At 56.5% G+C, this 23,923-nt stretch overlaps 1 protein-coding gene across 15 annotated transcripts in view, besides 12 other annotated features; it reads right to left on the reverse strand.

The window, feature by feature from the left end:
* Positions 1-23,923, reverse strand: part of RASA3 (RAS p21 protein activator 3) — a 154,841-nt gene that overhangs the window by 68,690 nt on the left and 62,228 nt on the right. For 8 of the 15 annotated variants that reach the window (XM_047430157.1, NM_007368.4, XM_047430155.1 and 5 more), the window contains one exon: positions 5,580-5,683. Coding sequence is in view for 8 of the 15 variants with exons in the window: in NM_007368.4 (NP_031394.2) it covers positions 5,580-5,683 (104 nt within the window). In the remaining 7 variants the exon portion in view is untranslated. Of the gene's footprint in view, positions 1-5,579; positions 5,684-9,983; positions 10,314-10,760; positions 11,003-11,776; positions 19,350-23,923 lie in introns of those variants that run through there. The other 7 variants (XM_047430161.1, XM_047430162.1, XM_047430160.1 and 4 more) reach the window with 7 other exon arrangements.
* Positions 821-1,612: an enhancer, noted in NCBI's record as "H3K4me1 hESC enhancer chr13:114812769-114813560 (GRCh37/hg19 assembly coordinates)". NCBI's record gives its function as "activates a minimal SCP1, AML or CMV promoter by ChIP-STARR-seq in primed H9 embryonic stem cells {active_cell/tissue: H9 hESC(primed)}" and the evidence as "EXISTENCE:reporter gene assay evidence [ECO:0000049][PMID:30033119]".
* Positions 1,613-2,402: an enhancer, noted in NCBI's record as "H3K27ac-H3K4me1 hESC enhancer chr13:114813561-114814350 (GRCh37/hg19 assembly coordinates)". NCBI's record gives its function as "activates a minimal SCP1, AML or CMV promoter by ChIP-STARR-seq in naive H9 embryonic stem cells {active_cell/tissue: H9 hESC(naive)}" and the evidence as "EXISTENCE:reporter gene assay evidence [ECO:0000049][PMID:30033119]".
* Positions 17,390-17,909: an enhancer, noted in NCBI's record as "H3K27ac-H3K4me1 hESC enhancer chr13:114829337-114829856 (GRCh37/hg19 assembly coordinates)". NCBI's record gives its function as "activates a minimal SCP1, AML or CMV promoter by ChIP-STARR-seq in primed H9 embryonic stem cells {active_cell/tissue: H9 hESC(primed)}" and the evidence as "EXISTENCE:reporter gene assay evidence [ECO:0000049][PMID:30033119]".
* Positions 18,657-18,716: an enhancer, noted in NCBI's record as "active region_8048". NCBI's record gives its function as "activates an Ori minimal core promoter by ATAC-STARR-seq in GM12878 lymphoblastoid cells {active_cell/tissue: GM12878}" and the evidence as "EXISTENCE:reporter gene assay evidence [ECO:0000049][PMID:35858748]".
* Positions 19,077-19,306: an enhancer, noted in NCBI's record as "active region_8049". NCBI's record gives its function as "activates an Ori minimal core promoter by ATAC-STARR-seq in GM12878 lymphoblastoid cells {active_cell/tissue: GM12878}" and the evidence as "EXISTENCE:reporter gene assay evidence [ECO:0000049][PMID:35858748]".
* Positions 19,837-19,906: a silencer, noted in NCBI's record as "silent region_5554". NCBI's record gives its function as "represses an Ori minimal core promoter by ATAC-STARR-seq in GM12878 lymphoblastoid cells {active_cell/tissue: GM12878}" and the evidence as "EXISTENCE:reporter gene assay evidence [ECO:0000049][PMID:35858748]".
* Positions 20,237-20,366: an enhancer, noted in NCBI's record as "active region_8050". NCBI's record gives its function as "activates an Ori minimal core promoter by ATAC-STARR-seq in GM12878 lymphoblastoid cells {active_cell/tissue: GM12878}" and the evidence as "EXISTENCE:reporter gene assay evidence [ECO:0000049][PMID:35858748]".
* Positions 20,577-20,696: a silencer, noted in NCBI's record as "silent region_5555". NCBI's record gives its function as "represses an Ori minimal core promoter by ATAC-STARR-seq in GM12878 lymphoblastoid cells {active_cell/tissue: GM12878}" and the evidence as "EXISTENCE:reporter gene assay evidence [ECO:0000049][PMID:35858748]".
* Positions 20,967-21,026: an enhancer, noted in NCBI's record as "active region_8051". NCBI's record gives its function as "activates an Ori minimal core promoter by ATAC-STARR-seq in GM12878 lymphoblastoid cells {active_cell/tissue: GM12878}" and the evidence as "EXISTENCE:reporter gene assay evidence [ECO:0000049][PMID:35858748]".
* Positions 21,177-21,236: an enhancer, noted in NCBI's record as "active region_8052". NCBI's record gives its function as "activates an Ori minimal core promoter by ATAC-STARR-seq in GM12878 lymphoblastoid cells {active_cell/tissue: GM12878}" and the evidence as "EXISTENCE:reporter gene assay evidence [ECO:0000049][PMID:35858748]".
* Positions 21,337-21,426: an enhancer, noted in NCBI's record as "active region_8053". NCBI's record gives its function as "activates an Ori minimal core promoter by ATAC-STARR-seq in GM12878 lymphoblastoid cells {active_cell/tissue: GM12878}" and the evidence as "EXISTENCE:reporter gene assay evidence [ECO:0000049][PMID:35858748]".
* Positions 21,507-21,686: an enhancer, noted in NCBI's record as "active region_8054". NCBI's record gives its function as "activates an Ori minimal core promoter by ATAC-STARR-seq in GM12878 lymphoblastoid cells {active_cell/tissue: GM12878}" and the evidence as "EXISTENCE:reporter gene assay evidence [ECO:0000049][PMID:35858748]".

Consider the following 23,923-nt stretch of genomic DNA (forward strand, 5'->3'; position numbering starts at 1 on the left):
TGCAGTCTTATTTATCCTCACTTTTAACTATATGTCAATTAAAAGATTATGCAGACATTTCTAGAAAAAGGGTGGTAATTTCCGAGTCACGGGGTTGTTCCTATGGAAAGGGGTGGTAACCTCCAGGCGTTGCCATGGCAATGGTAAGGTGACATGGTACACTGGCAGGCGTGTCCGATGGAAAGCTGCTTCCACCCATCCCTGTCTCAGCTAGTCCTCAATTTGGTTCGGTGTCCGAGCCCTGCCTTCAGAGTCCAGTCCCGCCTCCTACCTCAGATGGAAGAGAATACAGAGGCCACAAACAGACCCACACAATGCAGCCAACTAAGCTGTAAATGTGCCAAAGTCATCAACGGAGGAAGGGTCGTCTTTCAGCCAAGGGTGCCGGAACAAAGGGATGTCTACATGGAAAAAACAGAATCCCGACCCTTTTCTTTGTGCTATAAGTGAAAATTAGCTTGAAACAGATCATGGAACTAAATGTGAACGCTGAAAGCACATGCTTTCCAGGAGAAAACCGCCACAACCGTGGAATAGGCAAGACTTTCTTAGACATGACACCACAGGTACAAATCATACAAGAAAAAAATGTGATAAACTGGACCATCGAAATTAAAAACTTCTGTTCTTCAAAGCCAATGGTAAGAAAATGAAATACAAGCCACAAACTGGAAGAAAATATTTGCAAAGCACACTTGTGATAGACTCGTATCCAGAATATACAGGGAACTTTAAAAAGTAACAAGAAAACAACCCAATTAAAAGGGCAAAAGATTTGAACAATGTACTAAAGAAGGAATGGAGCTGTCACTAAGCCCAAGAAAAGGTCCTCGACGCCACTCTTCACGGACACGCAATAAAAGCCACAGTGAGACAGTACACACCTATGGGAGTGCAAACGGTAACTAGAGAATAAAAACTCACAGTCCTAAGGGCCGGGCAGGATGCGAAATACCTGCTGCTCTCACCCGCTGCTGGAGAGAAGGCAGACTGGGTGACCACTTGGAGACACGGTTGGGTAGTTTTAATGAAAGTAAACACACACCCTACAGTGACCCAGCAACCTCGCTCCCACGCATTTATCTCAGAGTAAGAAACAGAAACATTGTCCACACAAAGACCTATCCGAGAATGTTTACGGTGACTTTATTCATAATTCCTGAGGATTAGACACAATCCAGAGGGTGGATGAGGCGGCTGAGCTGTGTCTGTATGATGGAAACCCACGGGCAGTGGAAGGGGGCGGCCTGGCTCACAGCCGCACAGCGCGGGACCAGCGCAGTGGCAGAGGGCACGGCCCCTCCAGGGTTTGAGTCACGTGGCCTCCTGGAAAAGGCAACTGTGGGAACAGGCCTCAGAGCAGTGGCTGCCCGGGGCTGTGGGCCAGGGTAGGAAATCCACCCCAAAGGGGCCCAAAGGAGTGTTCCGGGCTGTGGGAACATATCTTAGCTGTGCTGCTGTCTACACAACTGCATACACTGGTGAAGGCTACACCTAACAGTGAACTTTACCATATGTCAGTTGCAGACCACCTGATTTATACACAAAGAACGGAGGTCTCGGCCGGGCGCGGTGGCTCACGCCTGTAATCCCAGCACTTTGGGAGGCCGAGGTGGGCGGATCACGAGGTCAGGAGATAGAGACCACCTTGGCTAACACGGTGAAACCCCGTCTCTACTGAAAATACAAAAAATTAGCCGGGCGTGGTGGCGGGCGCCTGTAGTCCCAGCTACTCGGGAAGCTGAGGCAGGAGAATGGCGTGAACCCGGGAGGTGGAGGTTGCAGTGAGCCGAGATCGCGCCACTGCCCTCCAGCCTGGGCGACAGAAAGAGACTCCGTCTCAAAAAAAAAAAAAAAGAAGAAGAAAAGAATGGAGGTCTCACTGCACCCCCACCCCATTGGGAAGCCTCAGAGAGTCTCTAGGGGCTGGAGGGGCAAATGGAGGGGGACATGGTGCTACCAGAGCCGGGGCCCAGAGGAAGGTGGAGGCCTAGCGGGAAAAGGAGGGAGGCGCCAGGATCGGGGGCGGAGACCCCAATGCTCCTGACAGCACCGAGCCGGGCCTCGCGCATTTCCGTGGTTCCCGCATCCCAGCTGCGGGGAGCCATAGTTTCCGGTCTGTGCTCTGTGAGGGCAGCGCCCGGCAGCCGAGTCCAGGCAGAGGCCGCCTCCCTGCGCCTGGAATCCCGAAGGAGCCTGCGCCCCGTGTGTCCCGCAGGTCACGGCCCTGCAGCTGGGAGCCCGGCTTGACTGACAGTTCCCGCCGGCAGCAGCGCTCTGTGGGCCATGGACCCAGGGACAGAGGAGGCTACGGTCACGCCGCCCGGGACCCGCCGACACTGGACACTTCTCCTGCTCCTGCTGTGGCGGGAGCTGACTGCAGCCGGTGGAGGTGCCGGGGTGGGCTGGGGAGGGCTGAGGGCAGGCCTTTATTTCCCCAAGTCTCACTTGCCGGGGCGCCGTATCCCGGCACGGCTTCAGCTGCCTTTCTCGGTTTCTGTCGCCACCGCCCTCCCCCTCCAGGCTGAAGATGCCCTCCCGTCCCCAACCCACACCCCCGACCCCATAGGAATGCACCCCCACTTCCTTCTGGCACCTGCCAGTGCACCTCTCACTCCTGGACCTGAACTTGCAACTGAGCACAGCTGTGGCTGCCCCAAGGGAAACTTGCTGGCAGGTGGGGTTTCCTCAGGGCGTGGGCGGCTGCTAGAAACGAGAACCAGGAGAACCACGCAGCCAGGAAGCCAGTGGCCACCGCGCACTTCCACCCAGAAACGCATTCCCCAGAACCTGGTGTTTCATGCCCGGTAACAACATAATTACCATCATAAAGATAAATCGTTACCGGAGATCCAGACAGCCACCCATTTTCATAGCTGCGAAAGCCACAGTGAAACATCTAAGTCCAGTCACCATAATCGTAAAGCCACCAAGAACTACTAGCAGACGACGTCAACAGAATGATTAATAAACATCTTATTTGGTTATTTTCAGAGCATATAACTCCAGAACTAACTTGATCAGCTTCTCTTACTAAAATGTGCAAAAATTTTTTAAATTTCTTTTTCCTTAGGGTTGTCGCTCAAAAAATGTCTCATACACCTTCGAGAACGAATCAAGTCCCTGTGGATTCTCGAGTATAAACGGAGCTGGTGACGAGGCCTGACACACGGTCACACCTCAATTCGCGCGTGGCGCCCGGCACAGGCTGAGCCCCGCCAGATACACCATTAGCCTCCGCTGAATAATCTGGATTCCATGCCTCCCTTTCTTCTGAGAACACCCTTGGAGGCCCCTGGCAGGGGCTGAGAACACAGGAGCGAGACACAGGCCTGCCCTGCAGGACCATGGGCTCCAGGAAGCTCTGTCCAGTGGACACAGCACAACAGGCAAGAGAACCACAACCAACGAGTGGGGCAGGGGAGGCAGGTCACGGAGGGCAGCCCACCCATGCCGCGGGGTCGGAGGCCATCTCCTGCAGCAGGCCCCAGTCCCAGAGGTGGGCATGGCAGGACATGGGGATGGAGAAGGAGGTGCCTCAGGAGTGGGGTGCACAGCGGCTGAGCCCGGAGGCAGGAGGGAGAACTGCCAGCCACTAGCCCTGGAGCCGATGCCCTGGTCAGAGGGAGAGAGGAAGAGGGAACCCTTCCGCAGCACCCAGCTTGAACGCGACATAAAGCTATGGGCCTGAACCTGAGGGCCTCCCAGGCAGACACTGAGCAAGGGGGTGCAGGGGTCACGCTGGACCCTCAAGACCATCTCACCGACAAGGCTCCATGAAGCCCAGCACAGCAAGACCCTGAAGGGGGGTCAGGTGCCCGCTGCACTCAGACACCTTCTGCAGCCGCATTTCAGGGCCAGGGTGTCCGCTGCGGAAGCACCCAGCACAGTGTTCCCGCTCAAAATGAAGTCAAATGTCAATTATCTGAGATCCATGTGACCCATTCCATGTATTTTCTAAACAAACTCTGGAGACTTCTATGAAAAACACAGCAGTTTCTAAGAATAATCACTTGGGTACAGTGAACAACAGTCCCAAAAATGTCCGGGTCCCGACCCCTGCAATGGTGAGGGGGCACTGGCCTTATCAATGCCAGGTGAGGCCCTGCCCGGCCCCGAGGGCCTCTCACCCAGCCAAGCCCCTCTCAATGCCAGGCAGAGAGCAAGACTGGTCAGGATAGGCATCTCATCTCTGTCAGGGGACTTGCTGTGGAGGCCCGGGACATGGCAGAGTGCAGACAGCCTACGCGTTACCTACTAGCCCGTTTCTCTCATGCCCCCTCTCTCTCTCAACGTCGTGCTGACACACACTAGCTGCCGGCCGCCCAGTGGGGACAGGCTGGGTTTTAGGACACTCAAGCTCTGAGGTGGACCTTTGGCCGTGCCTCTCACTTCTGTGTGCCAAGCACTGGGAATGGATCAGATCACAGATCCTGGTCCATGGCTCACAAACAGAGGAACAGGGACGATGAAGAAAGCCCACAGCTGAGGGACACAGGTGAGCGCTGGGGAAAGGGGGCAGCCGGCGTGGGGTGGAGCGGCCGTGACACGGTGTGAGGAGCCAGTGTGAGCAGCGAGCGTCAGATGGACCGGGACCCCGCCCACGCACAGCACCCTCGTGGCCTCGCTGGCCTCCTGCACCCCCGGGCCCTCAGGCTGCCTGGGGCCAAGCTGGGGGTCCCCCTGGGGGACTCCTCCTCTCGCCCTGTCCCACTCAGCATCCCGGCAGCCATGAAGACGAGGAGCCTGCACCACCTGGGGTCTGGGTTCAGGCTGTGGCAGCCAGTACACACTGGCTCCCCGGCCGCCCGTCCTGGGCGTGAGCTCAGGCGCCACAGGACCCCTCCTCCCTTCCTGGCTCTCCCAGCGTCACGGCGGGAATTAGCCTGATCCCTCAGCCTCCCACGCCTGCTGCGTGAGGTCTGCTCCTGACGGGGTCCTCTGGCTGCATTTAGGAACAAGGAGCTCCCCGAGTAACCTGAAGTCCACTCTGCCCAGAGGCCCCACAACTTACAGGATGCCGCCTTCCTGTGATACCAGGCAGGGCTGCCCATGAGCTTTCTCCAAGAGCAGCCCCACCCCTGCTCCAAACACACCATCTCCTGGAAGTAACAGTATTGCCCCAAAAACCAGGGGGAAACTGAGGCAACATGCCCCCACCCCCACCCGCCCTTCCTGTGCCCACACTGTGGGGACTAAAGTTGGGACAGGGACAGCCAAGACGTGGTGAGGAGGGAGGCCCCACATCCATGCAAAGGTCCCCCCACAGATGCCCCGGGGAACAGCCCTGGGAAGTTGTCTGAAGAGGGCCAGAGATGCTGTGCTCTTGCCTTGAGGGGCCATGGAAGCCTCGACTGGCAGTGCTCACTGACCTGAGCCTGGTGTGATGCTCTAGCAGGGACCACAGATGCCAGGCCAGATCCCAAGAGCAGATCAGGAGGAACACCCAGGGCTGCTGTGACCTCAAGCCCTGCAGCGACCCCTCAGCACCATCCAGCCAGGCTCTGGACTGAAATGCTAATACTCGCCTGGTACAGAACAGGCAGAAAAGGGGAAGTAAATGCTCATTCATCACCTACCTATGATGGAATCCCTCCGGAAAACGTCTCTATCGAAAATGTAGAAGGACAGGTGACGAAAGCTCCGAGGAATTTCACAGTAAAAGTCTTCTCCGTAAAACGGGCTAGTGAGACAAAGAAAAGCGCCAGTTAGAACACAGGCCACGCTTGCGCCTCACCCCCGGGGCACACACGTGTGGTCTTAGTTTTAAACATGCCATAAGAATGCCCTGCACTGTGTGGCACGCATGAGACATGAACCTGCAGCTCCCTGTGGGGTGAAGGGCCTCGTAGCTGCTCCCCGGCCTCCACCTCGAGCCTTTGCACTGCACAGATGAACTTCTGTACTGGGCTGCCTGGCGGCCCGGAAGCTGAGACCTCCACAGAGACCACGGCCACTGCCAGAATGACTTCCATGCTACGTGCTCAGGTCTAGGTGCAGCCTCAGGGCCATCGTGATGTTTCGAAGGTACCTGGTTTGGGGCAGGCAGTGGCTCCCTTTATGCATTAAACATAAAACACAGCACTCCAGTGCCTTGGACCGCTCCTTTTATCCAGAGATCCAGTACAAAGTCCTGACTGCCCAGCCGCCCTCACTCCTCGGGGAGAGACCCCCGCTGCTGACTGTACTTAGAGTCCTCGCTCCTGGGGGAGAGGCCCCCGCTGCTGACTGTGCTTAGAGTCCTCGCTCCTGGGGGAGAGATCCCCGCTGCTGACTGTGCTTAGAGTCCTGGCTCCTGGGGGAGAGACCCCCGCTGCTGACTGTACTTAGAGTCCTCGCTCCTGGGGGAGAAATCCCCACTGCTGACTGTGCGTAGAGTCCTCGCTCCTGGGGGAGAGACCCCCGCTGCTGACTGTGCTTAGAGTCCTGGCTCCTGGGGGAGAGACCCCCGCTGCTGACTGTACTTAGAGTCCTCGCTCCTGGGGGAGAAATCGCCACTGCTGACTGTGCGTAGAGTCCTCGCTCCTGGGGGAGAGACCCCCGCTGCTGACTGTGCTTAGAGTCCTGGCTCCTGGGGAAGAGACCCCCACTGCTGACTGTGCTTAGAGTCCTCGCTCCTGGGGGAGAGGCCCCCGCCGCTGACTGTACTTAAAGTCCTTGCTCCCGGAGGAGAGGCCCCTGCTGCTGACTGCCCAGCCGCCCTAGCTCCTGGGGGAGAGGACCCCGCTGCTGACTGTGCTTACAGAGTGCATGGCTCAGGCCGCCCATGCGTGAGTCACCAGGAGATGCAGCCGCCCCACAGAGGAGACTTGAAATAACCACAACCCCAATAAAGAAGCAGAAGCCAGTGGGCTTTGCCATTCAGCAAACCTTCCTGTTGTCCTGGGCTGGCACAGGTGGGGTTAGTTTCCTCCCCACGCCGGACCTGTTGGCGATTACTGCGGTGCACGCACAGCTACCACCAACTCAGAACTTAAAACAAGCCCACTTTCATGCACATTGATGCTAAGGTCCAAAATAGGAAAGATGTAAGTTATTCAAGGAGGAACCATTCTGATAGAAAGCAAAGGAAGGTCAACGTGCTGGGCCAGGGGGCGTCCACACAGTCACCAACGGCACAGGCCCCACCCCAGCCACACACAGAAATGAGCTCAGACCCCGCACCCATCTGTAAGGGTGTAAGGGTTGGAGCTACTAGCCTCTCAGAAGAAAATGAGAATGAACCTGCACCCTAAAGTCAGGTAAAGATGTCTTAGATCTGTCACCAAAAGCACAAGTGCCAAAAGAAAAATAAATGGAAAATCAAACTTCATCAAAATTAAAAACATTAAAAACTTTTTTGCATTAAAAGCATTATTTAAAAAGTGAAAAGGGCCAGTGCTGTGGCTCACGCCTGTAATCCCAACACTTTGGGAGGCTGAGACTAACGAATCACCTAAGATCAGGAGTTCGAGACCAGCCTGGCCAACATGGCAAATCCCCATCTCTACTAAAAATACAAAAATTAGCAGGGCATGGTGGTGGGCGCCTGTAGTCCCAGCTACTCGGGAGGCTGAGGCAGGAGAATCGCTTGAACCTGGGAGGCAGAGGTTGCAGTGAGCCAAGATTGCACCACTGCACTCCAGCCTGGGTGACAAGAGCAAAACTCAGTCTCAAAAAAATAATAAAAATTAAAAAAATAAAAAGTGAAAAGACAGACTAGAAAAAATATTAGTAAGTCAGTTATCTGATAAAAGACTTATATACAGAATATATAAAGAACTCTTATGACTCAATAAATGATGACAAATAATTCAGTTTAAAAAGGGGCAAAAGATTTGAACACACATATCACCAAAGACAAATGGCCAACAATGTATTAAAAATGCTCCATGTCATTAGCCCTTGAGAAAATGCAAATTAAACCAGGAGATACGGCACAGGCATAAGCCCAAACCTGGGGCGGGCGACTGTTGCTGCCCGGAGCCCAGGTGGGAGGGGCCCAGAGTCCAGGTGGGAGGGGCCCAGAGTCCAGGTGGGAGGGGTCCAGAGTCCAGGCCCCACCCCTTCTCCCTGCAGCGGCCTTAATGACAGGCATTTCATTTGGATTTCACTGATTTCAGTATTTTTATAACTGGGTCAGAGACTGGGTAACATTTACTCAGAAAACCATTTTTTGTCATAAAACAATCTTCCAAGGGAAGCCTAAAATGCCTAGGTTGTTTTAAGCATTTTGGAAACACAGCAGTATCCATTTACACACAAAAGAAACATCACTTTATCTTTCAATGAAGGCAGAATGCTCAGGGACTTCCACCGACTCCATTGTAGCAGCATCCTGGTTAATGAAGGCCCATTAGAAAGTCACGTTTCCTTTAAACACATTCTCGCGTTGGTCGTTGACGCAGCGAGCCATCCTCTGATCTCCTGCGTCTGCGTGGGCACCGCCGAGATCTGATGTCAGGGACCCCCAGGGGTGTGTGTGCCCACAGGCATGTGTGTGTGGGTGTGTGCACGTGTGTGCCCATGGGTGTGTGCACGTGTGTGCCCATGGGTGCGTGTGCCCACAGGCATGTGTGTGGGTGTGTGCATGCATGTGCCTGTACGTGTGTGCCCACAGGCACGTGTTTGTGTGTGCATGTGTGTGCCCGTATGTGTGTCCCCACAGGCAGGTGTGCATGTTCATGTGCATGTGTGTGCCCACAGGCACGTGTGCATGGGTGTGTGCATGCATGTGCCATGCATGTGCCCATACATGTGTGCTCACAGGCATGTGTGCATGTTCATGCGTGCATGCATGTGCCCTGGAGCACTTGGGTGCACATGTACACAAAGGCACCACAGATGCGCCCCACACAATGCGCTGCTTTCATAACAAGGCGCAGGGGTCGTGACCCTGCCTCCACCCTGTGTAAAGTCACAGCTGCAGGATCTCGGGGCAGGACGCACACTCCCCAGGCAGCGCCCTGTGGCCTCCCTGGAGAAGCTTGGTGCTCTGCGGACAGCGTCCCCACTGGCAGGAAAAACCACTATCAACCTCGAAGCCAAAAGGGACACCAGACGTGCATTTTAATATTCACGACAAGGCCTCAGGTGACGAGCTACTCACAGGACAAGCGTTAACAATTAATAGTAATCCACAAAACATTTGGGATTTTTACAACGACAAAACGGCCTCTTCTGTACGTCCTAGAGCAACTTTCAGGGCCACTGAGGCCTAAGTGATGGCAGGAAGCCGTGGTGTTTGAATGTGTGAAAGCAGCCTGGACTTGGCGTTTCCAGCCCCGTTCGCTCCCGGCAGAGCCCCAAGAACCAAGGGCTGGAGGCTTCACTTCCTGCTCCAGAGTGGCAGGTGCCCAGGCTGTCCTGGCTGCGGTGCATCTCACACAAGAAGCCCAGCGGGAGCACGCACAGCTCTGGGCCTTGCGGCAAATGCGTAACCAAAAGGCGTAAATCAAGCTTCGTTCACCATGGAGGAACCTCAGAACCACCGGCACCGATAGCCAAGCTGCCAGAGAATGGAACGGACGCCCTCCATTGGCACAAACTCCAGCAGCCGGCTTGTCAGGAAGCTGCAGCAGCTTCAGAGCAACCCAGGCCTCGGGGTTCACCTGGCGCGTCACCGTTTCCCGAGAGCCCCCCGCCCCCGCACAGGCACTGAGGACCCCACCACATGGGCCTGTGCCTGCCTGGCAGGAAGGCAGGGAGGAGGAAGTGGGTCGGGCTGGATTGCATGTCTGATGTGTGTCCGATGAATGTCCAGTGCGTGTCCAATGCGTGTCTGGTGAGTGGTGAGTGTCTGGTGTGTGTCTGATGTGTGTCTGATGCATATTTGGTGCGTGTCCGGTGCGTGGTGAGGGGCGGTGAGATGAGGATGCCAGCGCTAAGCACACCCCACAAACGGGCGCCGCGCACCTGGCATTTAACCCTGCACACTTCCTCACCACCCTGATGCACAGGGTGGGAAACCGAGGCACTCCAACATCTGATGAAACGAAACTAACCCCAGGGCTTGGGCAGCAGGGCTGAGAGTGCGGCGTCCCTGGGCGCTGCCCGGTAGCGGGGTGTTCAGTTGCTCTGCCAAAGGCTCTGCACAAGTGGCTCCTCTCTCTGTAACTCTGCTTGGCAGTGGGGGGCTCGGTGGGGGGAGGCCCGTGCTGGCTGGGCACCTGGGAGGGTCCCGTGAGGCTTCTGGTGGTGCTGACAGCTGTCCGTGGAAATTGAGGTGCTTAAAATTCATAAATAAACCAGAAATCCATTCAATAAAAAGAGATAAAAATAGCAGAAAGAGGAAGCTACAAGAAAACATACGAACTCCATAAAATTATCACCACAGACTGGACGTGCCCCTTTCTAAATGTAAAAGCGGTTTATAGCAACACAGCATGGCCCTGCTGCACTACCCCTGGGGAGCAAGACCTCCTCCAGCCTCCACCCAGGAATTTCTCCAGCAATGGCTTTAGAACCTTGCTCCTGAATCGCAGCAGGGGAGGCAGCGCTTTGGGGCCCTCTGTCAGGCTGCCCCCCCTGCTAAGAGGAGCTGTTGTCCTTGGGAACCACGGGTCCCCCCTCCTGAAGAAGGGGAACGTCACACTCACAGTTCCATTTTACACATTTGCAGCTGAGAACCCTGGAGCCAGAACAGGCTCCAGCACAGGCGATGGGTGAGTGTTTTGCATGTCTGATGTCGTTTATTCTAGTGGTTCCAATTGCCTATTTTAATGTTTTTCTTCTTATTTCATATAACTTTTTAAACTTAAAGTAATAAAGTTATTACTAACTTTGTTTCCTGCGGGTCACCTCAAGTCTTTCAGGAAACCAGGCAGGACATCTGCAGGCGGCCGGCCAGCCTTATCAACGGAGCTCTGAGCCACCAACCACTGTGACCAAGCTTCATTCCCACGAGCTGGACGAGCAGAAGGCATTGCAGGGCAGTGGGGTCCGGAGAGGCGGCCGTGCTACAGGCCTTGCACTCATTTTAATGAAGGCTCTGCAGGATTTCAAGGAAAGCTGGAGCCAGTCTCTGTGCCAGAATAGAGGGTTCGTTCAGCTTCTTAGACCGATGATTTATTTAGGGAATAAGAAGGGCGATTCCAGGGACAGTGGAGGCCCCCACAGGAAGGAAACCTCTCCCCACAATGACTGTGCACAGAGCCAGCCTGACACCCAAGGCCACGATGCCATAGCCAGGGAGCCCTGAAGAAACTCCTGGAAGAATGTAAAACCCCCAGCTCAAGGAGGAGAGTGGAGGCGGTTCCCCACCTTCTGGGGGCAGTTAACCTCTGAGAATGAACCCACAGCTAAAACCCATAAAACCTCCGCCAACCACACCCAGACCTGGAAGGGGCACCTCTGGCCAGGGCGCTCAGCACGAGGGGACCCAGAACAATGGCTTCCCTGGGGTGCGGGCTCGGCCTGCAGGATGGAGGCTGGAGAGCTGCCATCCTAGCGCACACTGGGTAGATGCAGGTGTTTCCAATGTGCTGAAGAGGGCAGGGCCTGGCTGAGGCCCTGGGAGGTCGGAGTCCCGGAGGTGGGTGGGGGTGGTGAGTTCCCAGGTCACTTCCCCAGGTGTGCGTTTTCCTCACTGTCCTGTCCTATTCATTCATTTTAGCACGGAGGCCAGAACCAGCCGAGTGAAGCCCCTGCCTGACCACTCAGGGGTGTGAGGACAGGGGCGAGGACCGGGATCATCAGTCAGCTCCTAGAATGGCAGGTTTGTACCTGCAAACGGAGCACCAGAGTGACATCCCCCCAAGACCCCCGAGATGCCATGAGCCCCATGGAGACCACCCACCCGGCAGGGGCCAGCTCCAGGTGCTGCTGCTGCGGCGAGGCCGTCACCACCATCCACGCGTCCAGCAGGAAGAGCGGATTCCTCGGGCGTGAGGCTCACCACTCACGTTGTCTGCACACCTGCCTGACGACCTCTCCCGAACCTGGATTCCCACCACAGAATTCAGCTCCTCGGGTGCTCACCAGCCCGTGACTTGTGGTCACCAGACCGGACGGAAAACACAGAGACCATTTCCTGTTTTGCAGAAAATCCTGTTGGGCCATGCCAGTCCTAGAGCCAAAACACGGTGTCCACTTGAGGGTCCAGACCTGAGGCCACCCTTGCTGGGACAGCATCTCCTTCCCTCTCAGAGCAATGCCACTGATGCCCAGACCAGCAACCATGCCCGTCCTCGCCTGCCCGACAATGCCCTTCCCAGGCCCTGCTCCTCGGAGGACTGGTCATGGGCACCCTGGACTATGCCGACCCGCAGTCCCCAGGGACCAAGTCCTGCTGCTGTGGACACAGGTGACCCTGCCCCTCGCAGGGGAGCTGCTCTTCTCCTGAGCCCAGGAGTGCTCTGAAACTTATATCCCAATGAGAACCAAAATCAGGAGTAGAAGTGGGAGTTGAAGGCCAGAGCCTTTTTCGAAGAACTTCCCTAAGCTCTTTTAAATACCTGCATCCAGGCCAGATGCAGTGGCTCACGCCTGTAATCCCAGCACTTTGGGAGGCCATGCCAGAAGCGCCACTTGAGCCCAGGAGTTAGAGATCAACCTGGGCAACATAGCAAGACCCCAACTCAACAGAAAATTTAAAAATTAGATGGGTTTGGTGGCGCACGTCTGCAGCGAAGCGGAGGATTGCTTGAGCCCGGGGTTCCAGGCTGCAGTGAGCTGTGATCACAGCACTGCACTCCTGCCTGAGTGACAGGGCGAGATCCTGTCTCAAAAAACCAAACACCTGCATCTCCTGCATCTTCAGAGCACAGTCCCGCCTGGAGGAGCCGCCGTCAGGCCCTCCTGCATCTTCACAGCACAGTCCCCAGGTGCAGCTGCTCCCCCCAACCTAATTCAGGCCCTGGTAAGCTTCACAAGGCCAAGGGGACGTTGGTCTCCACCAGGAAGACTATATGGCACGTCTAAATGTAAGAATCTGTGACAGACGTCGCTGAAGCCAATGCGAGGAGGCGCAGGTACCCAGGAGGCACAGGTACCCAGGAGGCACAGGTGCCCACACGGGCCTTGCCGGGGGAAGCACGACTTTGAAGATGGGGACGTCCACGTTTCAACGCTGCCTTGCCAGAGGCCAGTTCCCTCATCTCTCAGCCTCAGGACACCGCCCTCTCCACAGTGCAGCCTGCGGGCACAGAGGGCGCTCGGCTGGGGAAGGGCAGTGGCTCTGCCCCCAAAGCGGCCTCCCCAGGACACACCACTGCCTGGCTTGGAGGTTTCTTCCTCTGCCCTGCACAGTGAGACAAGCACATGGCAGGGCCTCCCACACACCAGGACCAAACAACGGGGAGCACTTTCGATGTCTTTGGCCCCCGCCAGGCGTGGCTCACTGGACCCAGAAACCACAGCGCTCTCTCTCTCCATGACTGTTTCAGCTGCCCATCCCCGTTCTAGACTGTGGGAATAGCAGCCAATGAAGCAAAGTCCTGGCCCCATGGAGCCAGCCAAAGAGCACACAGAACCACGAATGTCCAACGCGGGCAAGGCTGGCGGGGGCAGCACTGTGGCCTCGCTCGGGGGACAGGGAGGCTTACGGACGAGTGAGCGCTTGAACAGCGCTGTGGACGGTGAGGAGACCCGCAGGAGGACAAGGGAACGCATGAATGAGGCCATGGACGGCGCGGAGAGCGCAGGAGGGGTCTAGGCAGAGGGACACCAGGTGCGAAGGCCTCGAGGCAGCAGGGCTTGTGTGTGGTAAAGACGTAGGAGCAAGGAGAAGGCTGACGTGGCCTGGGCAGGGCACGGCAGGACCGGAGCATGCTGGGAGCCGAGGTCAGAGGTCAGGGTGCAGCCGAGGTCACGTGGTGCAGAGCAGACATTTCACCACAGCAGCTGGGAATATGCAGGCCCGTGCAAGACACTGGATGGACGGATGCACGGATGGGGCAGTGGGCATGCAGGGAGGAATCACCTGTCTCAGGTCAGCAGCCAGGAGCTGCCCAGACCTGGCACAGTGGACCAGGAAGGGAAGGTCACCCAAGCCTCCACAGGTGGGGCTTTCTGCAAGCAAGGTGCAGCGGTCAGCCCGAGAGGCCACGGTGCCGAGCAAATCCTGGTTGTCCTCATGGGGACGACAGGAATTCAGTTCTGGCAGAGCCAAGACTGCCGGGAAGCCAGAGGGGCTCCTGCAGGAGGTGACGGGCCTGCGGGGACGCGAAGGGCCAGGACCGGACACGCCCCGTTCCGCTCTGCTTCCAGTGAGGCGAGAGGCGGGCAGGACGCAGCTGGAGCCGCGCACGCCCGGAGCTCAGGCCAGGACTGTCCCCCAGCGCTGCGCTCGCCCGCGGTGGAGCTGCAGTGTTATCAGTGGTCAGCTCAAGTCCAGTGGCTTGAAAGGGAGGCAGAGGCCTCACCTTCCCTGAGGCTCCCTGTGAAGAGCAGGAGGCTGGGCCCTCGGGAAGACCCCAGCCAGGCTCTGCCACCTCCACAGCCGGGAGACGGGGCCTCCAAAGCCGGCAGACGGAGCCCCCACAGCCGGCAGACGGAGCCCCCCACAGCCGGCAGATGGAGCCCCCCACAGCCGGCAGACGGAGCCCCCCACAGCCGGCAGACGGAGCCCCCACAGCCGGCAGATGGAGCCTGGGCACTGCACACAGAGACATTTCTTCTTCCCGAGACCTCGCACAGAAATTACTCACTTAAAAGCACTTAGAGTTTTTTCATTTTTTCAGTGGCAAATATTTCGAGGGAATACCACAGAAATAGCCACACCAAAACCCAACTCAGTTCTCCCTTCTCCACCCCCGCCACGGCCGGGGACGCTGCCTCGATGCGCGGGGCTCCCTCCGCCATGGCCGGGGACGCTGCCTTGATGCGTGGGGCTTGGGTTCTTCAGGTCTCTTGATGTTTTTCCTCTTAGAACCGCAAACTACGGTTGCCTGAAAAGGTTTCTAAAAACCCCAGGCGCCCAGGCCCACCTCAGAGAACGGCTCTTTAAGGGTGATGGGTTATGAAACAGGAGCCCTTTGGGAGGCCAAGGTGGGTGGATCATGAGGTCAAGAGATTGAGAGCATCCTGGCCAACATGGTGAAACGCCGTCTCTACTAAAAATACAAAAAAAAAAAAAATTACTGGGCATGGCGGCAGGCGCCTGTAATCCCAGCTACTCAGGAGGCTGAGGCAGGAGAATCACTTGAACCTGGGAGGCGGAGGTTGCAGTGAACCGAGATCGCACCACTGCACTCCAGCCTGGGCGACAAAGCAAGACTCTGTCTCAAAAAAAAAAAAAAAAGAAAAAGAAAGAAAGAAATACGAGCTTTGAAATCTATACTAGCCATGGAGTCTAACACGATCCTTAAGCGAACTGCTCATTACAAAGCGTGGCAGGCTGCCTTCTCTCCAGAGGGTTTCTGGTGCCCTATCCACGGAGGCGGCAGTGGGATTCAGCCGTCACCTGTGCTTGCGGTGGTAACTCCATCTCAGACTCAACAGGGGACGTGTCTGCACAGAGCACACGGCGCAGGGGTTGGGCGGGGAGGACGGCAAGGTCAAGCCAGCTCAGGGGACATGGTGGGCAGGGGGCTCCAGATCCCACGGTGGGCAGAAAAGGCGGGGGTCGGACTGACGCCGTCCTGGACCATGTCCACGTCTGGGGTCTGCAGGTTCCATCTCCCTTTCCACTGTGCCTAACCTTACATCTATAACCTACATCCAGCAAGACACGATTTTCCACGATGAGTTGATTCGTAATTCCATTTATGTGCAAGTTTTTAGAATTTTCCTGTGGGTTTTTTTTTTACTTACTTATGATTTTAATTTTGTTTGCTTTAAAAAAAACACATGCATAGGAAAGAATGCTTCCTTTCATTTCAATTAAAAACAACAAATTGCTTTTTTTTAAGCAAAAATTCATTGAGGGGGGGCTCGCATTGTACAAAGAAAATCAGACCCACCGGGATGGCTGTGATCAAAGAGACAGTAACAAGGGTAGGGAGGTGGAGATGCGAATCCAAACACACAACTTGTGCAAAGGTCAAGTGGCCACAGCCGCCACGGAAAACAGGCTGGCGGTTCCTCCGACGTTCAACACACAGTCGCCACGGGACACAGTGGTTCCACCCCCAGGTGTGCAGCAATAGACATCACAGCCCACGTCCGCACGCAGACTCGGACACGCGTGCTCACAGCCCACGTCCGCACGCAGACTCAGACACGCGTGCTCACAGCCCACGTCCGCATGCAGACTCGGACACGCGTGCTCACAGCCCACGTCCGCATGCAGACTCGGACACGCGTGCTCACAGCCCACGTTCGCACGCAGACTCAGACATGCGTGCTCACAGCCTCAGTCATGACAGCCAGACAGTGGAAACAAGGCAGGTGGGCCTCGGCTGCTGAGGGAGCAACAGCAGAACGGTGCTCAGCCCTGGAGAGGAAGGACGCCTGGACCCTGGCCCCACACCACAGCATCCACAATGTGGTGCCAACCAACAGGCCACGCACACAGAGGCCATGGGCCAGACGCTTCCACTGACACGAAATGCCCAAGAGAGGCACAGCCGGCGACAGAACGGGGACCCGTGTCTGCCGCCCCAGGAGAGGCTGCAGGCCGGAAACTGGAGGATTACAGGGCGCGAGTGTCGTTTTAGGGAGATGAAAATGTTCTAAAATTGGCTGTGGCAATTGTTGCACAACTCTGCAAATATACTAAAAACCACTGAATTGTACATTTCAAAATGGGTGAATTGTACGGTGCTTGAATTATACCTCAATAAAGCTATTTTTAAAGAAACAAAATTTTAAATACGTAAAAAAATCAGAAAGTGAAATCTGGAATTAACATTCCAGGAAACATCCTCCTGGAGTTTTTTCTCCAAAAATATAAAATAGAATAAAATATATAAATGTTATAGGTTTAAAATATACAAAATATAAATATATTTGTATTACATTTATAACATAAATACAATATTTATAATACAAATATAAGTATATTCATACTATAATGACTCATTATATTATAATACAAATATATTAACAATAATAGTAAATATTTATGTTATAAATATAGAAGATACGAATGGAAATACGGATAAATTTTTTAAATAAAAGTGAGGTTATGTTCCCTGTGACAGAGTCAGCTTTTTCCTTTCACATCAGGCCATGGGCCACTTTCCAAAGAGCTGATAAAACGCTGGGGTCAGACGGCACGTGTGTGCGTGGACAGCAGTGCCAGGTCCCCCTGCCATGTGCACGCTGTGTGGTGGGAGCAGCAGGGGTGAGCACCCTGGGAACGCAGATCTGTGCAGTGGCTGATTGTCCCCGTGGGATAAATTCCTCCAAGGATGTGCACTGTCCTGAGGCCTTTGAAACACAAAGCCACAGAACCCTCCAGGGAGTCTGGACCAGTGTCCACCCCCAGCATACGCCGTCTTATAAATATTTCTACAGTTTGCTAAACCGGTGGCAAAAACCTGCTTAAATTTTAAATGTCTGGCTCATTGGTGAGGTGGAATGTCCATCTTTTTATGAGCAGTTTTAAATCTCATTTTTTCTTGAAATGCTCTGGGCCTGTTTTCTATTAGAATGACCATCTTTTCATGCTCAGGATTTAACCCTCCGGGAACTTCTGAATGTGTGTTGCAACTTAAAAGACATATTATTTCACAACATTTAAGGAGGATCTTTTTTGAACTAAAAAAACCCCCACAAATTTGTTAAATTTGTCACCAGTGGGTGACTATGGACCTGTGATCAGCCAACTCTGAAATGAGCTCCAGCAGATGGACACAGCGTCCCAGGACCTGCAGGAGCAGAGGCTGCGAGGCCAGCCACGTCCACCTCGATCACGTCACCTCGTGGGCAGAATGGCCTACGCCCCATGTCCTCCCAGCCCCACCCAGAACCCACGGTGAGCACCCGGCAGGAAGTGGCCACAGCACCATCACTGGAGGCCACGCGGAGTCTGAGGACAGCAGCTTTCCCCCCTATGCTGTTGTGGGGACTCCAGGCTCAGCCTGAGGACAGGGTCAGTTCCCTCCACACAGCACCAACACTCCCAGGTGCAAAGCCCAGGCCCACGGACAGCCCCCCGCTGTCCGTGGGTCTCATGGTGGGGGCACCCATTTTCTTTCATCAGCAGGAAGGTTTGTGCTTTCTCCTTCCTGGGCAGCAGAGTTTGAAGCGTATTCCAAAAGAAAAATGAAACCGGCTGAACGCTAGGGCATTCCTCCCATCCCCCATCCTGTTCGGTGGCCTGTGCCGGACAATCTCTTCTTTCTGATGGACTCAAAGGGGCCACACAGCCACCAGGTGCCCCCCTTCCCATCAGCAGCTTAACCTCGGGGTATCTCTTGGACAGGCCGGCTTTGTCTCCAGCCGAGGTCAGCAGCAGTCAGATGCGGGATGAATGCCTGGCCCAGGCGGCCCCCACTCACCGCCCGAGGGCTCTGGAACTCTCTTTCCAAATAAAGAAAAAGTGCGGCCTGAGAGGACCAGGCTCGCCTGAAATCCTGCCATGTGGCCTAAGGAAATTAACGCACGCAGCAGCCTCTCCCTCTGAGGCAGAGACCCTGGCAAAGTCTCCTTTCCCTCAGTCATTTCTGGAAGAAGTGCAAATGAAGTTTCACAGAATCAAGCAAACTTTCACGGGGAAAAAAGAAAAAACCTCTTGCAGAAAACAGAGTTGACCTTTAAGTAGTGGCTCTGATGAGGGGAAACCATCTGAACTGAATTCCTCCTCCTCCTGGAGCCTGGAGCAGGGGCTCAGCTGGGACCAGCAGAGAAACCCCCGCCTTCTCCTCCCTGAGTCACTTCCCAGCATCTGCGCAAGGCTGGCGCTGCCCCATCCCGCCTGCGGCTGCTCCCATCACGTGATCATAAGAAAATAAACCTGGTTTCCCAGCTCTGTGCTCTGCCGCAGGCTCGGGGCCCATTTCCCAAACGCTGGGGGGAGCCGGGAGCTGCCAGGGCTGCCCCAGCCTCGGGGTAGAGGGTAAAGGCTGCGTGAAGAGGAACCAAACCCCAAACCGGGTCTGCGAAGCAGCCCTGGGGCTCCCAAGCCAGCCTCTGGGCTGAGCTCTGCGGTCCTGAGTCACTGCCTGACTCATCCTCAGAGGCGCCCCACAGAGAAGGGGCAACTTGGCCAGGGAAAATGCTCCATCTCCGCAAAGGACAGGAGGCAAAACACACCCATCAGAAGCACATGGCCAGTGCAGGGCCACACAGCCCTGGCTCCCACAGACCGCAGGCTGGAGAATGGGGGTCCGCGGTCAGCTCATAGCCCACCCGCCACCCAGCACTGCAGGGTCACACAGCCCTGGCTCCCAGAGGTCAGAGGCTGGAGGGCAGGGGTCCGTGGTCAGCTCACAGCCCACTCACCACCCAGCACGGCAGGTCTCAGCGGAAGCCCCACACACACTGGGTTGCAGCCTCCTGTGGTTCAAGATGGGTGGGGTTATTTTGAAATGTTGGCAAATAGAGCTGTGAGTCTTCAAACGGAACCCAAAGACTCAGTGAGGAAAGCAGGCGGGCTGGGCTGAGACTCACAGCTGCAGCGGCCGTGGTGAGCCACCTCACCTCCCCGAGCCTCAGTCTCCCCATCTGTTCAGGGGCACCGAGGAGCTGCCCCTCGGCTCATGGGCTCTGTGGTCGCCAGGCACGCCACACACCACACGCCACACACCACTGCACGCAGCACCCCGGGACACTGTGGCCTCGGCTCCCGCCTCTCCTGCACATGAGGCTCTTTCCTCTCTCCCACCCCATACCCCCCAAAAAAGAACCACCATCCTTACAAACAAATGAAAATCGGCTGGGTCTTTAGGGCCCGGCCACGATGTGTGACTGCAGCAGTGACTCTCAGGAGGAGGCACAACCAGACACCGGGTCCCCTGCAGCAGCTGAGACACCTCAAACCCCAAACCCTCAGTGAGGCCCTGGTGGGAAAAGGGGCTCTCCAGGGAGGTGCCAGGGGCAGGAGAGAGGGCCAGCGGCCGAGGAGCGGGAGGCGGCCGGGCGAGAGGAGGCCCGGGCAGGAGGGAGAAGGGGGGACCTGGCCTTTGCTCCTCATGGGATCCTCGGTGCGGCCCCCTCGTGACAGGCCCAGCCTCTCCCTGCAGTGGCCCAGCCACAGCTCAGGGCCAGGAGGCTCCTGCAGGCACAGGCGGCCGATGAGTCCCTTCCAGGCCTGGGCCTGGGGCAGCCTGCCATGTGCAGTAGACACTCAGTACTCACAGAATACGAGCAACCTCATGCTCTCCGCCGGCTGAGTTCCTGTGCGGCTGAGAGAACCCCCTGCATCATTCTGACACAGGTGCGCTCCTGTGAGCCAGCATGACACGGAAGGACACACACATGCAGGTGGAGATGGAGATGCTGGGCCGGGCTTGGGGGTCATACAGACAGGACCAGGGGCTCTGACCTGCTGGGAGATTTGGGGCCAGCATTCCAGGACTGAGAGAACAGATCCCTGGCCTGGGGTGCTCTGGGGCTGAGGATGGGCCCCCACCTGGGCTGAGGATGGGCCCAACCTGGGCTGAGGACGGGCCTCCCCACCTGGGCTGAGGACAGGCCCCCCTACCTGGGCTGAGGACGGGCCCCCCAACCTGGGCTGAGGACGGGCCCCCTGACCTGGGCTGAGGACTGGCCCCCTGACCTGGGCTGAGGACAGGCCCCCCAACCTGGGCTGAGGATGGGCCCCCCAGCTGGGGCACTCTGGGGCTGAGGACGGGCCCCCCACCTGGGGCACTCTGGAGCTGAGGATGGGCCCCCACCTGCGGTACTCTGGGGCTGAGGACGGGCCCCCCACCTGGGGCACTTCTGGGGCTGAGGATGGGCCCCCACCTGCGGACACCCCGGGGCTGAGGATGGGCCCCCACCTGGGGTACTCTGGGGCTGAGGATGGGTCCCCTACTCCAGCAGTTCTGGGATATTCTGGGCTTCAAGAAGCCTCCAGTCGTGTCAAGCAGGTTTTTGTTTAAGCTCTAACTTGAGAGTGAAAATAAATGTTCATGGGAAATGTGACTTTTCATGAGTCGCCTAATGTCAAAGTCGGTGTTTCCTAAGTCAGCAACTTGGTTTTTATTAAAAGCATCTGAGAGAATGAACCGTCTGTCTCCCAAACCACCAACTTCCTCCTGCCCCTTTCAGTTTCTAACCCCAAATAACTTCTCCCCTCCCGAAAAACTTTGGAGCTGTGGAGACATTTCTTGGTTTAGTCATTTCTACTACACAAAAGTACTATTTTGGGGGTGATTTACATCTTGCAGTATGAACAGAAAGAAACCTCCCTGTCTTTAACAAACACCCACTGCGTGCACACAGGACGGGACGGGCTTCCACCCAGAAGAGCTCAGAGCCTGCCCCTCAGGGCTGCCAAGTGAGGGTCCCTGGTGATGTCTGATGTCCTCGTCTGCCTGGGAAGACCCAGCTCTCCTCGCTCAGCTCTAGAAGATCTATCTGTTCCTTGACTTGTAACTTCTAATTGTACATAAAACACACAAACAAAAGAACAAGAACTCCCCCATAATTCCACTTCTCAGAAATCACATCACATTGACGTTTTTGTCTGCGTATCCAGATCATTTTGGGGGTGCTCATGATTTTTTAAACAAAAGAACTTTTCCTACAGACACAGCTTTGTAACCTAACGCATAACCAGCTTTCGGAGCAGGAGTTCAGGCCGTGGCACCTCTGGGTGGAGGGGGCACAGAAACCAGCCACGCCTGCAGTTTCTTCCTGTTGTGGCCACGGCCCCTTCTCCCCGAGATGGGCATGCAAATGAACCCTGCAAAGGACGCAGGAGCAACTCCACAGAAAGGGGGGGCCAGGGCTCCGCGTGGGGCAGAGGGCTTTGCCCAGCCTCAACCCCAGTGGCAGGGGGTAGGGTCAGACCCAGAACCCTGAGGCAGAGCCTCCCTGAGCCAGGACTGTCTGCGTGGATGAGGGTTTGGGGAGAGGTCAGCCACGTGGGCGCAGAGGAAGCAGGCAGGGACAGACACCATTCCACGTCCTTACGTGGATGGAAGGAAATGAGGACACGACACTTACTGAATATTCTTGCAAATGACTGGACTAACCCAGCAAGGAGAGATTTAGGTTCTGTTGTGTGTGACGCCAGCTGTTCCTTTCTGCTGGACAAGACGGTGATTTCCACTGCAGCGCAGCCTTGGGGAGCGGGGTCATCTCCTTGTTTTAGGGTCGTGGGTGCCGGCCCAGGGGAGGTCCAGGGCGGGAAGCTGGTTCCCAAGCCCCAGCCCTGCCAACCCAATTTCAGGGAGCCTTTTAGTTTAAGTAAATAAGGAAACAAATAGTGGCTGCCCTTTAAATGATTAAAAATGATTGCTCTAAAAGGTATGGATTGTGAACACAGTTCACTCTCAACCTCAGAAAATTATTTTTCTAGTAGGACAGAAACTGCCAAAATCACTTCCTTGGAGAAGGGCCAAGGCCAGAGAGAAAGGGCTTGTTCTCTGAAATGTGTCCACTTCGATGCGTTCTGAAGTTAAACCTGTGACAGACACTGCCCTTCAACCTCCACCTTGAAAAATACAGAAAAAAGGGAAGACAGAGGACGCTCTCCCCAGACGTCGGCTCAGCACTCGATAAAGAGGCCCCACAGACTCCAGGGCCTCGGACGCGCGGCCCAGGGGCCCGGGCCACACGCAGGGAGGAGGCGTGGGGGACACAGGCCTGAGGTGGAGCTGGGTCGGTGACCTCCTTAGTGGGAAAGAGGGAAGAAGAGAAGCTGAGTTCCGCCTTTCCTTCCTCACACATTCCATTTGCAGCTTCCTGCTAAGTCAGACGGCGATATTGGGCAACAGCAAATCAAACTTGACCCAAGTGCTTCTCCCCAGGGAATGTGAGAAGGGGCTCCTGCCCGGCTGCAGACCCAGCGGCCAGAGAGCACCCTGGGGCCCTTCTGAGCTCAGAGATGCAGACGTGGGCTTTTTTCTTTCCACAGCGACTTTGCCAAATGAACCATCAGACCTTAAAGGTGACACTGACCTTGGAGGAAGCACACGGGGGGCTGGGAGACTCAGGGACCGGGAGACTTGGGGGGCTGGGAGACTCGGGGGCCGGGAGACTCGGGGGACCAGGAGACTCAGGGGGCCAGGAGACACAGGGGCCAGGAGACTCAGGGGTCGGGAGACTCGGGGGTTGGGAGACTTGGGGGTCGGGAGACTGGGGGGTGGGAGACTGGGGGAATGGGAGATTCGGGGACCGGGAGACTCGGGGAGCCGGGAGACTCGGGGAGCCGGGAAACTGAGGGGGCCGGGAAACTGGGGGGCCAGGAGACTCGGGGGGCCAGGAGACTTGGGGGGCTGGGAGGCTCGGGGGCTGGGAGACTTGGGGGGCTGGGAGACTCGGGGGCCGGGAGACTTGGGGGGCCGGGAGACTCGGGGGCTGAGAGACTCAGGGGACCACTTGGGGGGCCAGGAGACTCGGGGGCCGGGAGACTTGGGGGGCCAGGAGACTCAGGGGCCGGGAGACTCAGGGGTCAGGAGACTGGGGGGTGGGAGACTGGGGGGGTGGGAGACTCGGGGACTGGGAGACTCAGGGAGCCGGGAGACTTGGGGGAACCGGGAAACTGGGGGGCCGGGAGACTCGGGGGCCGGGAGACTGGGGGGTGGGAGACTGGGGGGTGGGAGACTTGGGGACTGGGAGACTCGGGGAGCCGGGAGACTTGGGGGGACCGGGAAACTGGGGGGCCAGGAGACTCGGGGGCTGGGAGACTCAGGCGGCCGGGAGACTCGGGGGTTGGGAGACTCGGGGGGCCGGGAGACTTGGGGGCTGGGAGACTGGGGGGTGGGAGACTCGGGGGATGGGAGACTCGGGGACCAGGAGACTTGGGGGACCGGCCCCAAAGTGGGTGCCACCATGGAGCAAGGAGGGGGCGGTGGCCAGGACTAAACTCCCCAGCATGTGGGGCAGCCCTGCCTGACACCTGCCTCTCAGGTGGATGTCGACCAATGACTAATACAGGACTCTGTTA

This window comes from Homo sapiens, chromosome 13 (assembly GCF_000001405.40).
Source record: "Homo sapiens chromosome 13, GRCh38.p14 Primary Assembly".
Lineage (NCBI taxonomy): Eukaryota > Metazoa > Chordata > Mammalia > Primates > Hominidae > Homo > Homo sapiens.